Source organism: Homo sapiens, chromosome 6, assembly GCF_000001405.40.
Source record: "Homo sapiens chromosome 6, GRCh38.p14 Primary Assembly".
Taxonomy (NCBI): Eukaryota; Metazoa; Chordata; class Mammalia; order Primates; family Hominidae; genus Homo; species Homo sapiens.
In genome coordinates, this window is record NC_000006.12 from 52959048 (window position 1) to 52974312 (window position 15265).

At 45.5% G+C, this 15265-nt stretch overlaps 1 annotated feature.

The window, feature by feature from the left end:
- Positions 2991–3191: a silencer, noted in NCBI's record as "peak5857 fragment used in MPRA reporter construct". NCBI's record gives its function as "represses an SCP1 promoter by STARR-seq MPRAs in K562 erythroleukemia cells {active_cell/tissue: K562}" and the evidence as "EXISTENCE:reporter gene assay evidence [ECO:0000049][PMID:32103011]".

The following is a 15265-nucleotide window of genomic DNA, read 5'->3' on the forward strand; positions in this document are numbered from 1 at the left end:
TACCGGGTGATTGGCCTGCTCTGTTTTCTGTCCTCTCTGAACCACCAAGGTTTGTTTGCCTGAGGGCCGTGACTAAGGCTGTGGCCTTTCTCTGATCTCGCTTTTCCTTTTTGGGCCTGTTCCTCTTGGTCCCTATTATAGAACACTGAGGTTGCCAGGTTTAATAATGCCTCCAAATTTTCTTCAGGGCCCAGGGCTTGCTTTTGGAGCTTTCTCCTGATATCTGCGGCTGTGGCTGATTGGGTAATAAACTTATCTTTTAGAATCAATTGACCCTCGAGTGATTCGGCTGACAGGGGAGTATATTTTCTTAAGGCCTCCCATAGCTGCTCGAGGAAGGCAGAAGGATTTTCTTCCTTTCCCTGAGTTATGGTGGACATCATTGAATAATTCATGGGCTTTTTTCTAATTCTCCTTAGTCCTTCTAGAACACAGGTCAACAAATGTTTACAACTCCAGTCCCCATGATCTGAGTAAAGGTCCCAGTGGGGATCCATACTGGGGATGGCTTGCTGACCGGTAGGGAATTTGTCCCTTTCTTCAGCTGTCATTCTGTCATTTACTTGACTAAGATACCAGGTATCTCCAAACTCTCGGGCTACAGCTAAAGCTGCATTATTTTCATTAAAGGCCAGGGTTGGATCTAACAGTAGCATGACATCTCTCCAAGTGAGGTCGAAGGTTTGCCCTAGACCTTGTAGGACATCTCTGTACCTATCAGGATCATCTGAAAACTTCCCCAGGTCTGCCTTGATCTGTTTTAAGTCAGAGAGGGAGAAGGGGACATGTACCCGGGTTGGGCCAAATTCCCCTCCCCCTACAGCTTGAAGGGGACATAACCAGTAGCCTGGGGGCATTTGTGGTCCTTTGGAGATTTCTTTACTTATTTCCTTCTGGGCAGGGGAGATTAGAGGAGGATTATCATTAATGGGAAGGGGAGCTATAGGGAGGCTATGATATGGGGGTAAGTTGAGCGGTCCTCCTGTGGGATGTAAATTGTAAGCTTTGCATTGTTGTGTATTCTCTGTCAATGAAAAGAAAGCTTGGACATAAGGTATTTCACTCCATTTGCCTTCCCTCTTACAGAAAAGGTCAAACTGCAGGATAGTATTGTAATTTGTACTTCCCTTCAGGTGGCCATTTTTCCCCATCAGAGAGAGAATATTGGGGCCAGGCTGTAGTGTAGAAAAAAATGAGCCACCTCTTTTTCGGGGTTTGTGGGTCAAATTGGTCCCAATGGCTTAGGATGCATTTCAAGGGTGAACCTGTTGATGCCTGAGTGTTTCCCATCTGAAAGACAAAACTGCCTGCGGTTTTGGTTTGTTTTGTTTCTCCCCCTGCCCAAGAACCCGTGACAGTCCCTGAACCCTGCTGATCGGAATAGTTGTGCTCACTGATGCAGCAACAGAAACAACCCCTACCCAAGAACCCGCAATGGTCCCTGGACCCTGCTGATCAGAACAGTTGCGCTCACTGACGCAGCAGCAGAAACATTAATTTTCCTCCCAGACCACATGGAGGACCAAGGAAGGTCGGATTTAGTGGCCCTTACTGATGCATTCTCGAAAACCTGCACCCTTGCCTGTCCTCCTAGACCACAAGGAGGGCTGAGAAAAATCGGATTTAGTGACACTTACCAACGCATTCTTGAAAACCTGTTAGAGTCCTAAGCATTCACCTGTTAGTATTGGGACCTTACCCATGTCCTATAAAGATGTTATGCCCCAAAAATGAAGTGGAGGGCCATACCCTGAGGGAGGGAAGGGATCTCCAGGGTTGGAATAGTGACACCTTTTGTCCTCACTTATATGAATAGGAAGGATACAATTTCTGGGGCTCCCCATATCCTAGCTTCAGGAATAGCTTTTGTTAGGCCTGTTAGTCTGAGGAGGGATCCTAAAATTCCAGGTAGTCCCCCCTACAACAGGGCTTTGGGCAATAATTATGTCTTTCTGATTGGTGAGCCAGGGTGCCTAAAGAAGTTAACAGAGTCTTGGAGTTTATACTAGAAGTCATTCTTATAGGAGAAACTAGAAAAGCCCCAGAGACAGGGAGCGATTTTTAGAAGTGGGACTAATCTCGGAGAAGAGAGGAAGTTTGTCTGGCAGGCATTAGGACCCAGGGGGCAAGGGTCAGGATAGACAGGATAGATGGGCGAGTCTCGCTTAGGTGACACGCCTTTGAGAGTTCCGCTCATGACCGCAGGGTCAGCCAACTTGTTGTCAGGACCCCGGAGCTGAATGGCTTTCCTCTCTCTTGACTCTCAGCTCAGCCCAGAAGTACAGGAAAAGCAGAAGCCGGTTCCAGGCAAACCAACGCTCCCAACTCTGAAGAGTCAGGGGTTGTTAGAGAGCCCTTTCCCAGAAAGCCTGACACCTGTGTCTTTAGGCCGGCGGCCGCGCTAGTCACCTTTAACTGGCCAACAGGTGCCCGGTATTTAGCCCCCAAATTCTAAGGAAAAATAGGACAGAATAGCAAGCAAAAGGGGTCCAATGGTACTCACTGCTTGCCAATAGGTGACAGTCTTACCGCTTAACAATAGGCAATGGTCTCACCACTTGGTGATAGTCTTACTGCTTGGTGATAGGCAATAATCCCTTCTGGGTCACCAAAATGTGTCCGGAATTGGTGGGTTCTTGGTCTCACTGACTTCAAGAATGAAGCCACAGACACCTGCAGTGAGCGTTACAGTTCTTAAAGATGGCGTGTCTGGAGTTTGTTCCTTCTGATATTTGGACGTGTTTGGAGTTTGTTCCTTCTGGTGGGCTCATGGTCTCGCTGGCTTCAGGAGTGAAGCTGCAGACCTTCGTGGTGAGTGTTACAGCTCTTAAGGCAGCACGTCTGGAGTTGTTCGTTCCTCCTGTCTGGAGTTGTTCATTTCTCCTGGTGGGGTCGTGGTCTCGCTGGCCTCAGGAGTGAAGCTGCAGGCCTTCACAGTGAGTGTTACAGCTCATAAAGGTAGTGTGGAGCCAAAGAGTGAGCAGCAGCAAGATTTATTGCAAAGAGTGAAAGAACAAAGCTTCCACAGTGTGGAAGGGGACCTGAGCAGGTGGCCACTGCTGGCTGGGGCAGCCTGCTTTTATTCCCTTATCTGGCCCCACCCACATTCTGCTGATTGGTCCATTTTACAGGGAGCTGATTGGCCAATTTTGACAGGGTGCTGATTGGTGTGTTTACAAACCTTTAGCTAGACACAAAAGTTCTCCAAGTCCCCACTAGATGAGCTAGACACAGAGCACTGACTGGTGCATTTACAAACCTTGAGCTAGACACAGGGTGCTGATTGGTGCATTTACAAACTTGAGCTAGACACAGAGCACTGACTGGTGCATTCACAATCCTTTAGCTAGACATAAAAGTCCTCCAAGTCTCCACCAGATTATCTAGATACAGAGTGCTGATTAGTGCATCCACGAACCCCGAGCTAGACACAGAGTGCTGATTGGTGCGTATACAATCCTCTGGCTAGACATAAACATTCTCCAAGTCCCCAGCAGATTCAGGAGCCCAGCTGGCTTCACCCAGTGGATCCTGCACTGAGGCCACGTGGGTGGAGGTGCCTGCCAATCCTGCACCACGCACCTGCACCCCTCAGCCCTTAGGCGGTCAATGGGACCAGGCACCGCGGAGCAGGGGGCAGCACCCATCAGGGAGGCTCGGGCAGCACAGGAGCCCATGGGGTGGGGGGGGGGGGGCAGGGAGCCCGCACCCACCCAGAATTCATGCTGGCCAGTGAGCACCACGCAGCCCTGGTTCCCATCCATGCCTCTCCCTCCACACCTCCCCACAAGCAGAGGGAGCCAGCTCCAGCCTCGGCCAGCCCAGAGAGGTGCTCCCACAGTGCAGCAGCAGGCTGAAAGGCTCCTCAAGCATGGCCAGAGTGTGCGCAGAAGGCACTGAGAGTGAGCAAGGGCTGCCAGCACGCTGTCACCTCTCATTAATGTCTTCAGAGGGAGGTCACTCAGGTTTGCAGATTTCCTTTCAATCAGTTCCAAAAGCAGGAGCAAACATATAGCTGCACCCTTTCAGACATCTGTTATAATTGAGCTAAGAGACATGTCATCTCTTGCTCTGAGCCCCTTTCAAGGTGTTAATGTAATGTTGGATTTCCCTTCATTTATAACCCATTTATTCATTCCTTTACACTCAGCTACTTCTCCCCTGCTCCATTAATACCTAAACTTTTTCACCTTTGGGAAGAACATTAGAACCGCCACTGTGCTGGTCTAGATTGCAGGCAGCAATACTAGTCTAGCAAGTACCTCCTCCTCAGTCCACTGCCATTCAGGTGGGGTACAGTTCCATAGGTGGAGAACTAGTGAGCTATTTCTATCACCAGGCAATATAGCTGCATTCATTCAGCCCCACTTTTGCTAGACAGGATGAAGGCACAATCCTTCCCCAACAGGCCCTTAGGAATTCTGACACAAGGTCTGAAAAACACTGACAGTTTCTTGCTTAGAAATCCCTGCTTCCAGCACTTCTAGTTGCAGCCCCAGTCCTAGGACCATTGCATCATGTTGGCAATAGGCCCCCAAAATCTGGCCATAAACTGGCCCCAAAACTGGCCATAAGCAAAATCTCTGCAGCACTGTGACATGTTCATGATGGCCATGATGCCCACACTGGAAGGTTGTGGGCTTACTGGAATGAGGGCAAGGAACACCTGGCCCACCCAGGGCAGAAAACCACTTAAAGGCATTCTTAAACCACAAACAATAGCATGAGCGATCTGTGCCTGTTCTAATGTTCCTCCAAAAGGTGAAAAAGTTTAGGTATTAATGGAGCAGTGGAGAAGTAGCTGATTGTAAAGGAGCTGCAGATAACTAGCCCAACCCATCCCTTTATTTTGGCCCATCCTTTTGTTTCCTGTAAGGAATACTTTTAGTTAATCTATAATCCATAGAAACAATGCTTATCACTGGCTTGCTGTCAATAAACATGTGGGTAAATCTCTGTTCAAGGCTCTCAGCTCTGAAGGCTGTGAGACCTCTGATTTTCCACTCCACACCTCTATATTTTTGTGTGTGTGTTTTTAATTCCTCTAGCGCTGCTGGGTTAGGGTCTCCCTGACTGAGCTGGTCTTGGCAGCATCAGGTAGGTTAGAAGAAAAACGTTTTTGAGGTGATTTGGGAAAGACAGAAAAAATTATAGTCGTTATACAAGTGTACTCTTCCCTTGGCAAAAATTGCATAGTCGTGTCACTGAAATGTGGGTTAGTTGCCACATGTAGAGTCCAATTAACAAGAGCAAGGTCTGATACCAAGAAAGTTAACTTAGCCCTTTCTTGCCACAGTCTTTTCACCCTCTGGGCACCATCTGTATTGAGTTGCTATTAAAATTCAGTCCTTTTACATTGACTCTTGAGCTATTGCATGTTGAAAATTGCAGGAACTTCCTAAAAATTTATCACTTTACTGTCTTGGGAGACACCATGATAAAAAGGCACTTTGTTAACCCACATGCCCTGATGAGAGAAATCACGTGGTGGTTCAGTGACTCAATCCTAACAAACCTTAACATGAACCTTACAATAAAATGAATGTGGAGAAAACATGAGGAGAGGGAGAGGAGAGACTGTGCCTTGTTAATCTCTCCTTAACAAGAGAACTCATCAATTCCCTGGCCCCCACCAGGGACCCAAGCAGGATGCTAAAGGAGTTACCACACTTTTAGAGGTCAAAAGTGGGGTGGCTAAGGAGTTCACAGACATGCCAAAAGCACCACGGGACAGCATACCCAGTGGCTTCTGGCATGGGCAAAGTCACCTTGTAAATGGGCCATGTTCCAGGTACTGACCAGGTGACAGGCAACCAGCAAATCAAAAGTCACTGGACCATTGACAAGCAATGCCTCACTCAAAGGACCCCCACTCCCCAACCCGGTCTCCACCTGGCTGCCTTCTGAGAAAGATAAAGCAGCACTGGGCCCAGCGCAGTGGCTCATGCCTGTAATCCCAGCACTTTGGGAGGCCGAGGCGGGCAGATCACCTGAGGTCAGGAGTTCGAGACCTGGCCAACATGGTGAAACCCAGTCTCTACTAATAACAAAATTAGCTGGGCGTGGTGGCGTGTGCCTGTAATCCCAGCTACTCGGCAGGCTGAGGCAGGAGAATCGCTTGAACCCAGTAGGCTGAGGTTGCAGTGAGCCAAGATCACGCTACTGCAATCCAGCCTGGACAACAAGAGTGAAACTCCATCTCAAACAAAACAAAACAAAAAAGATAAAGCAGCACTGTTGAAGTTCAGTATCGGGGCACACTTGGGAAGTGCCATCTCTCCACTGTCCTTTTAGTGCACAGAGCTCTGATCCATTTGACCCCTCTCCACCTGCTCTGAGAGACGGGATAAAGCTGTAAAGCTGGTGGGGGGGCTGGTCTGGTTAACTCCTGTGGTTCTGTCTCACTAAAACCTTTATCAGACCAAATTGTATTTGAAACTAATCCTGGGTGAAAGAACATGGGCACAGGAACTACTGTTAAAACCCTTTATACAATGGTTCTATTCTGCTCCCCCAGTTAGACATGCTGACTGTTACCTTTTGGTTTGTCCTGTGAATCCAGATAAGGTCACTTCTAGTAGGCGCCAGAAAGCTGTTTTTTTTTTTTTTTTTTGAGGCAGAGTCTCACTCTGTTGCCCAGGCTGGAGTGCAGTGGTGTGATCTCGGCTCACTGCAACCACCGCCTCCCAGGCTCAAGCAATTCTCCTGCCTCAGCCTACAAGTAGCTGGGATTACAGGAGCGTGCCACCATGCCTGGCTAATTTTTGGTATTTTAGTAGAGACGGGGTTTCACCATGTTGCCTGGGGTGGTCTCAAACTCCTGAGCTCAGGCAGTCCGCCCACCTCAGCCTCCCAGAGTGCTGGGATTACAGGTGTAAGCCTCCACTCCCAGTCTGAAAGCTGTTTCTAGGCAGTGGTCACTTAAAATGCAGGCTGGCTGGTCCTTCTTCTGTCTAGTTATTCTCTTAGTAATGAAAACTCAGCTCTGGGCTGCCCACAGGAGACGGGTCCCTAATGTAACACTGAGTGTCATGATTCTCTGGCTCTAGGTATTATGTCTTTCCCAGAGACCTGGTCAAGAAGGTGAGATAGCAATGGCTGTACCTCGTGCCAATGACAGTAAAATCTCCCAGATGATAGGAGCGGCAGCAAAATGCCATTCTCAAATGAGAAAAATAGGGCAAGCTTCTTGCTGGCATTGCAGAGCCAACATTCAAAGAGATGCAGAGATATGGGCCCTTGGATATGCTGGAATAAAGCAGTGGGGTCGGGCAATATCAGACAAGTGGACACCAGTCTGGGTACTAGAGATGGGATGCAGTTTTTCCTTTGGGAGAGCTGGAGTCACAGGGTGAAAGGGGAAACCTCTGCTCCTTGGAACATAATCTTCTGGATGTGGGCTAACAGCTGTTCTGACCTCACCAAGGGAATGAACACTGAGAAACCCAGGTGTGGATCCACTCCTGTTCATCTGCTCCATGCAAGTACAGGACCATGTTCTGTACAATTCTCAAATGGAAGTGATAAGTGAGTGTTAATATCCCCTTCTTTCAAAGGCAGGGGTCTCTGGGGCCTCAGGGGCACGAGTCCTCACTATAGTGACAAAAGCTTATTCCATCTAAGCCTCAGTCTCCTAATCCTTAAAATGGGGGGTGGTGGTTGAACTACCCACCTTAAAGGGTTATTGTGGGGCCTGAGGATGGAAGCAAGCAATAGATAAAATACGTGCTGCACTCTGTGACCTATATCAAGTAGAGTCCTCCATGCCTCTTTAAAGGAATTACAAACCGATTTAGTGTTTTCTAGAGTATCTTTTACTAAGATTAGCTTGTCTGTTAGTTCTCCATGTCTTTTGAAAAATGTTTGTTGTAAATGCAATTGATATTTTGTAAAAGAAAGCTAAAACTATTGTAAATTTGACTCAGTATTGCAATAAAAGGTGTGTTAAAAGAAAGATGTGGAGTGGCTTTTGCCTTCATTTTGTGATTTATGAGCATAATTGGAGAATTTTCATTGTTTGGTGCTTTGTGGTAGTGAATTTGGAATTTCGTGTGACGCCTTTGGGCCAGCATAGTTTTCCCCACTTCACTCCTGCCTGCCCCCTGCATGTTCTCAAGGCACGTGGGAGATAGAAGGATGTAACTTTGAAGGCCAGCACCTCAAATGATAAGCAGTTACCACTTCTTGTAAAAATCTCAGCAAATGTTTGCATGCCCCATAAATAGCTGGCTCTGGCCAAGTAGTCACCGTACCTGGTCTCTCAGCCTCGGCTCCATGGGATTCTAAATTAGGCTCTCAGATTGCTTGAACCCGGAAGGCAGAGGTTGCAGTGAGCCGAGATCGCGCCACTGCACTCCAGCCTGGGTGATGGAGGCAGACTCTGTCTCAAAATAAATAAATAAAAATAAATAAACTAGGCTTTCAGGAGGCATGATGAATGGACTGAACTAGAGGGTGTCCAAAAAGCCTCAGCAGGACTCCATTCCCCACCCCAAGCTCCTCCCAGGAGGAGCTCTTCCTTGTAGAACAGCTGAGTGCAGAGAAGGGGCCCCATACATCTTACAATCTCACGCCCAGCCAAAAGCCAGCTTCTGTCCCTGGATTCTACACTGCAAAATTCTGAGGAGGTGGTAAACTCCTGGAAGGCAGGGTCAGGTCATGTTTCATCCATCCCCCTGTGTTATACTGCACATCGGCTGTGCAATATATGTAGTGGATACTGTCAATGTACTATTTTAGGATACCAGTTTCTAAACTTGATAATATTCCTGCGTTCAGTCTTTTATTCTTTCTTTCAACATCAACATTTATTAAGCTCCTTTTATTTATTTACTTCTTTTTTTTTTTTTTTTTTTGAAATGGAGTACCACTCTGTCACCCAGGCTGGAGTGCAGTGGCACGATCTTGGCTCACTGCAACTTCCGCCTCCTGGGTTCAGTGATTCTTGTGCCGCAGCCTCCTAAGTAGCTGGGATTACAGGCGTGTACCACCACGATTGGCTAATTTTTGTATTTTTAGTAGAGATGGGGTTTTGCCATGTTGGCTAGGCTGGTCTCAAACTCCTGGCCTCAAGCAATCGGCCCACCTCAGCCTTGCAAAGTGCTGGGATTATAGGCATGAGCCACCGCCCCTGGCTGAGCTATGGATAAAGTGCTAGGTTAGGTACTCTGGGCACTGAAAGATAAATAAGATGTAGTTCCTGCCATCAAAAACATCCAGACTACTATACGGTAAGTCAGAATGAAATAAGTGTTTAATAAAAGTACAATATGGTATTAAGAATTGAACAGACCCTTTCTGAATGAGTACAAATAGATATGTTTGTTTGTCTGACCTCTCATCCTTCTCTTCCTTATGACATTATAAGTTCAGGGCCTAAACCAGGTCCTTTAATCCTTTTTCCTTGACCTCTAAGGAGTTTCAACAAAGATTAGGCTAAATCACAGCTTAGTAATATAGAAGACCAAGTTTGTTTATACTTCAAAAAGTAAACCCAGTTATTCTGATTGTTTAAAAGTATACTGTCAAAGCTTAAAAGAACAGGTGCAATGGAAATATATACCCCATCTGTGGGAAATGAAGAAGCAGGGAACGAAGGAGCAGTGCTTTCTGGATTTCACCCAAAATGCAAACACTCTGAGAACTCCGCTGCTGGAAGGTCCAGAACCTTAGAAGCTAAGATGAGCAGGCACTCAAGCCCATCTCCTCAGCTCTGGTTTTTCTGATGCTGATATTGGCCAACAGGTGTGTCCTCACATGGGTCTTATAACATTGGAAATTAAGTCCTATCTCTCAGGGCTTGAAAACTTCACCTGTGTGCAGCTTCACCTGAGATGAGCCAGCCGTGGGGATGCATTCCCCCACCCACAGCCCCGAGTACATATCTAAGGTGGGCTGAGCAGAAAGGAGTGAAGACAGCATGATGACCTTTGGCTAGTTGGAGAATAGCCTTTGATTTAAAAAAAAAAAAAAAAAAAAAAAAAAAAAAAAAGCCCGCAGCTGGGCGCAGTGGCTCACGCCTGTAATCCCAACACTTTAGGAGGCCAAGGAGGGTGGATCACCTGAAGTCGGGAGTTTGAGACCAGCCTGACCAACAATGGAGAAACCCCGTCTCTACTAAAAACACAAAATTAGCCGGGCTTGGTGGCACATGACTATAACCCCAGCTACTTGGGAGGCTGAAGGAGGAGAACCGCTTGAACCCAGGAGGCAGAGGTTGTGGTGAGCCAAGATCTTTTAGAAAATGTAGAAGAACACATTTACCCAAACACATTAATCTGAGTTAGGCTCTGGGTACTGAAAAAAAGACCCAGGTTCAAATCTCAGCTCTCTCTCTCTCACATGAACAGGTTTCTTAATCTCTCTGAGCTTCAGTTTCCTTATTTGCACAATGAGGCTAATAGTGCTTAATTCATTTGGTTATGAGGTTGAAATGAGATAATGTGTGCAAACTGTTGAACATAGCAAGGACTCAAAAAATGCCACATACACACACATGCATCTCCAGATTGCAGCAACATTCACAAGTAAGAAAAGCAGTCAAACTTGCTTCTGATAGAAGTGCAGGCCATTCTCTGGAAGTGTGATTTTGGACCAGCGGCAGTGGTGCCTGGGAGCCTTTTAGAAATACAGGATCTCAGTCCCTGAGCCAGGCCTACTGAGTCAGAGCCTGCATTTTTAACACCATCTGCTAGAGATTCATACGTATAAGAAAATTAAATTTAAGAAGCTGGGCTAGAGTGAAAACCATTAACCTGCCTCTGGGGCTCAGTGTGTGGCCCTGGGTTGTTCTCCCCAGGGACTGCTGGGCAGGCATACATTGCAGGACATGATGTTTAAAACAGGGGCTGAATAAAGTGCTGGAGTTGTATGTGGCTATGGATAGAGAAAGGAGAGGGAAGACTAGAGAATTATAAGTAAATTCCTCATGTTAGATCATCTGCATTAACCCTCTTTTAAGATCAGAACTCCTAGAATTCAAGGCCCCCCTTCTTTTTTTCCCTACCTTGAGAAACAAGGGTTTGTGTTTATTAACCAACGGGAGGGAAGTCAGAGCAGTGCAGCCTACTAACCAGCCCCTCTTGTAGTCTACCCACCTAGGCCAGCTGGACAAGGAAGGATTGGAAAAAGCAATAGATAGGCCCCCTCCTCCCTGCCCCAACCCAAGGTGAGTTCCCAGGGAGCCAGAGCCTGGTGAGTAAGGAGGAGGAAGTCAGCAAAGGTCAGAGGCCAAGGAAGGAAGGAAGAAAAGCCACCAGGGAGACAGCCTTGGGGAGATCCCTTGGGCCTTCACTCTCAGTGGGCAGGGGCAAAGCACCCCAAATGCAGCCCCACAAGAGGAACTAAGCAGAGGTACATTCATGTCAAAAACCTTGTATGTGGGGATGGGGGAGTGAGGATGTCCAAAGTCAAGAACAGCTCCCTCCAGGGTCAGTCCTTGCCCAAGGATGCTGGTTCAGCCTCCAAGGCTTTGTCTCCATACCAAGTTTACACCAGGGAGCAGCCTCTGACATGCCCAAATCCAGGGAATGGATACAAGAGAGGACAAGGGGCCAATTGCTTCTTTAAGATCTGTCCTGTGGCAAATTCCGAGTCCAGTGGAAGTCCAGCCTTCAGCTGCTGGGGTCTCCCGTGTCTTCCTTAATTCATACAACCACTTGATCATGGGTGTGTTGCACTCCACCACCAACATGCCACAGGGGACATGCTCCTGGGCCCGCTCCCCAGCAGTAGCCAAACTGAGGTGGGAGCAGCTTCCCTTGGAGTTGCCCCCACCCAGCACTGGGCCCAGCCAGGGACATGATGTCCAAGTTGGCAAGGCCCCCCTTTGATTCCCAAATTTAACAACGTGCCAGATGTGTGGGTTCCAGCCCTGAGGCAGGGTCACAAAGAGATGTCAGTTTCCTCAACTATAAAATGAGGAATTGGTTTAGAATCAGATCGTCTCCTTAGTTTCTTCCAGTTTTAACCACCCCCCCCCACTGCCTTTTTTTTTTTTCTTCTTGAGACAGGGTCTTGCTCTGTTGCCCAGGCTGCAGTGCAATGGTGTGATCATGGCTTACTGGGCCCTTGACCTCTTGGGTTCAAGGGATCCTCCCATCTCAGCCTCCCAAGTAGCTGGGACCACAGGTGCATGTCACCACACCAGGTTAATTTTTCTATTTTTTGTAAAGATAGGGTCTCCCTGTCTTGCTCAGACTGGTCTTGAACTCCTGGGCTCAAGCCATCCTCCCACCTTGGCCTCCCAAAGTGCTGGGATTACAGGTGTGAGCCATCACACCTAGCCTTCAAGGGTCTTTATAATCTTGTTTCTCCTCCGATGCATTCATCCTTTGCCCTATGGTCTTATCTGCTGAATACACCTTGTAAAGGGAGCCAGTCTCTTTGCAGTGACATTCTACTGACAATGTTAACAGTCACTCTGGATCGTTGAGGCAAAACAAGCACGTTTTTCTCAATTACTTGAATTGTTAGGCAAAAGCAGGGTTTTAGTGAGTTTTCTGGATAATAAAAATTATAAGGAGCGAATTTAGGAGACCGCCAGTTTTAGGGATGTTTTGGGCCAGAATATAAGATGTCAATTCTAAATATATTATCAATAGAAATATCCTTAACATTTACCTTAGCTTCACTAATGGATCAGAATGGCCTATCTTTATTACAACCAGCAGATAAGAATGTGTCACTGGAACTAAAAACTCTCCTGGCTAGCCCTGAATTTTGATTTGCTAGTTTAGAAAGATGTAGCATCACTTTTGCTTTAAGTGTATAATACAACAGAGAAAGAATATTTTAAAGTTGGAAGATAACAATGATAATAACACAACCAAGGGTTCCAGTAGAGCTTTAAAGTATAGCCTTATTGTAGCTTCAGTAAAACTTTAAATTTATAGTGATTGATTATAAATTATTTCTCTCTACTTTTCTAACATATGACATGTTAACAAAAGACTGAATTAGTTGGGTTTGACATGCTACCAGCAAACATGGTCTCCTACATGGAACAAGCCCTTCCAAAAAAGATCTCAAGTATTTACATGGCACTTTTAGTACACAACCAACCAAACAATATTACTGTGGAGGAGGTGATGGTCACTTACTTTGTAAAATGATTAAGGAGGGAGGTCTATTGCAAGCTTGTATAAAAAGCATCTTCTCCAGAGAGCACTATATTTCATTTTCGGAAACTAAATTTCCTTTCAACTAGGGCCTAATGGATTGATTCATGTTTCCAAAACTCACAAGAGATTGACTTATACCTCCAAGGCTTACAAACATATTTACATGAAAAATATATCTGAGTCAAGAAAGAGACTTTTATCTACCCAGGTTTTTGAGACTTCTTGGAGAATAAATAAAGTGAGCCATCACATGGCTCATTGCTGTCGAAAGACTGGGGCGAGTCCTAGAAAAATTTGTGTGAGAATTTTTGAGTTCTCATCTTGGCATAGTTCCCTGGGGGTGTAGAACCCTGAAGGAAGACCCCAGGGTCAGATCATTTGAATTAAATCTTCCAAGCATACATGGAGTAGATCTGTAGGTGCAGGAAGACTTAGTTTACCCGTTAGACACCATGGCACAATGTGGCTGGGGCCTATGTCCTTTTCAACTGGGTACAAAATTATCTGACATTTGCTTGAGATGGAAAAAATGTAATGGTCCAAATAGTAAGTATTTTTAAATTCTACTAAGCGTATTATGTCAACCAATCAACTGAAACACCACTTAACTCTTAAATACTTATTTTTAAAATTACATGTAATGTGTGATGCAGGTATGGGGATATTTTAATACGTCTGATAGTATGTATATTATGCATAGACAATAAAAACCTTCAAAAGGTCTTGTCTACACGTACATTGGCTGTTTTTCGTTTACATTATCTACTCTGCAGAAAACAGTATCTGTTTATTTGATAGACTCAGGCTTGGAAATACTAAGCATTAAATTAACCACAAAGTTAAAACAGTTGCTGAGTATAAGTAGAAAATTGGGCAGTAAAATATTATAACTATCCAACCAGGCCCCCAAAAGAGTATATAAGAACTTCACCACTCACCTTCTCTCTTAGGCTCTTATCTCCAGGGTGCTGAGGGGAGATTAAGTGAGGGTTTATAACCCTCTCCTTTCCTATTGAAAGCTCTGCCTGCTCAAAGTATCAACCAACAGTCATTCCAGTTTGGGCCACACCTCTGGGGTTTCACTTTACATTCATTTTTAAAAAAATATTTTATAGCACATTGAGCTAACTAAGAAGAAAGTAACATTCCACTGGCTCATTCAACAATTGTTTGCTGAATACCCTTTTCTGCCAGACATTGTTTTAAGATTTGGCTCTATAAAGGTAGGTGTGACAGCATTTCTGCACCTGTGGTGCTTACATTCTAGAGGAGGACAAGCAGTACATATATATTTTTTAATGTGGTTTGTTCAAAATAATAGCAACAATGTATTGGATGATTATAACTTGTGTATGAGTTAATGTATGAAAGCAAAGTTACAAAGAATGGGAAGGGGCAATTAGGAGCACTGTGTTATGAGGTAGCTGCACTATTTGAGAAGTGATATAGTGTTACTTGAAAGTGGTCAAGATTAGTTGTTAATATATACTAGGGCAAATTCTAGGGCAACCACTAAAAATATGTTTTAAAAAAGTATAATTGATTTGCCAAGAGAGGAGAGAAAATGGAATCATATAAATAATATAACCATATGTGATGGTTAATACTGAGTGTCAACTTAATTGTATTGAAGGATGCAAAGTATTAATCCTGGATGTGTCTGTGAGGGTGTTACCAAAGAAGATTAACATTTGAGTCAGTGGGCTGGAAAAGCCAGACCCACCCTTAATCTGGGTGGGCACATCTAATCAGCTGCCAGTGCAGCTAGAATATAAAACAGGCAGAAAAATGTGAAAAGACCAGACTAGCCTAGCCTCCCAGCCTACATCTTTCTCCCACACTAGATGCTTCCTGCTCTCAAACATCAGACTCCAAGTTCTTCAGTTTTGGTGCTCGGACTGGCTCTTCTTGCTCCTCAGCTTGCAGATGGCCTATTGTGGGACCTTGAGATCATGTGAGTTAATACTTAATATTAACTACCCTTTATATATATATATATATCCTATTAGTTCTGTCCCTCTAGACTAATACACCATACAAATGGAAGAAAAAAAAGAAATAAAGGAGCAACAATAGGAAACAGCTACAAACATGGTAGGTATACATCCAACTACATCAATAATTACTTCAAGTGTGAATGGTCT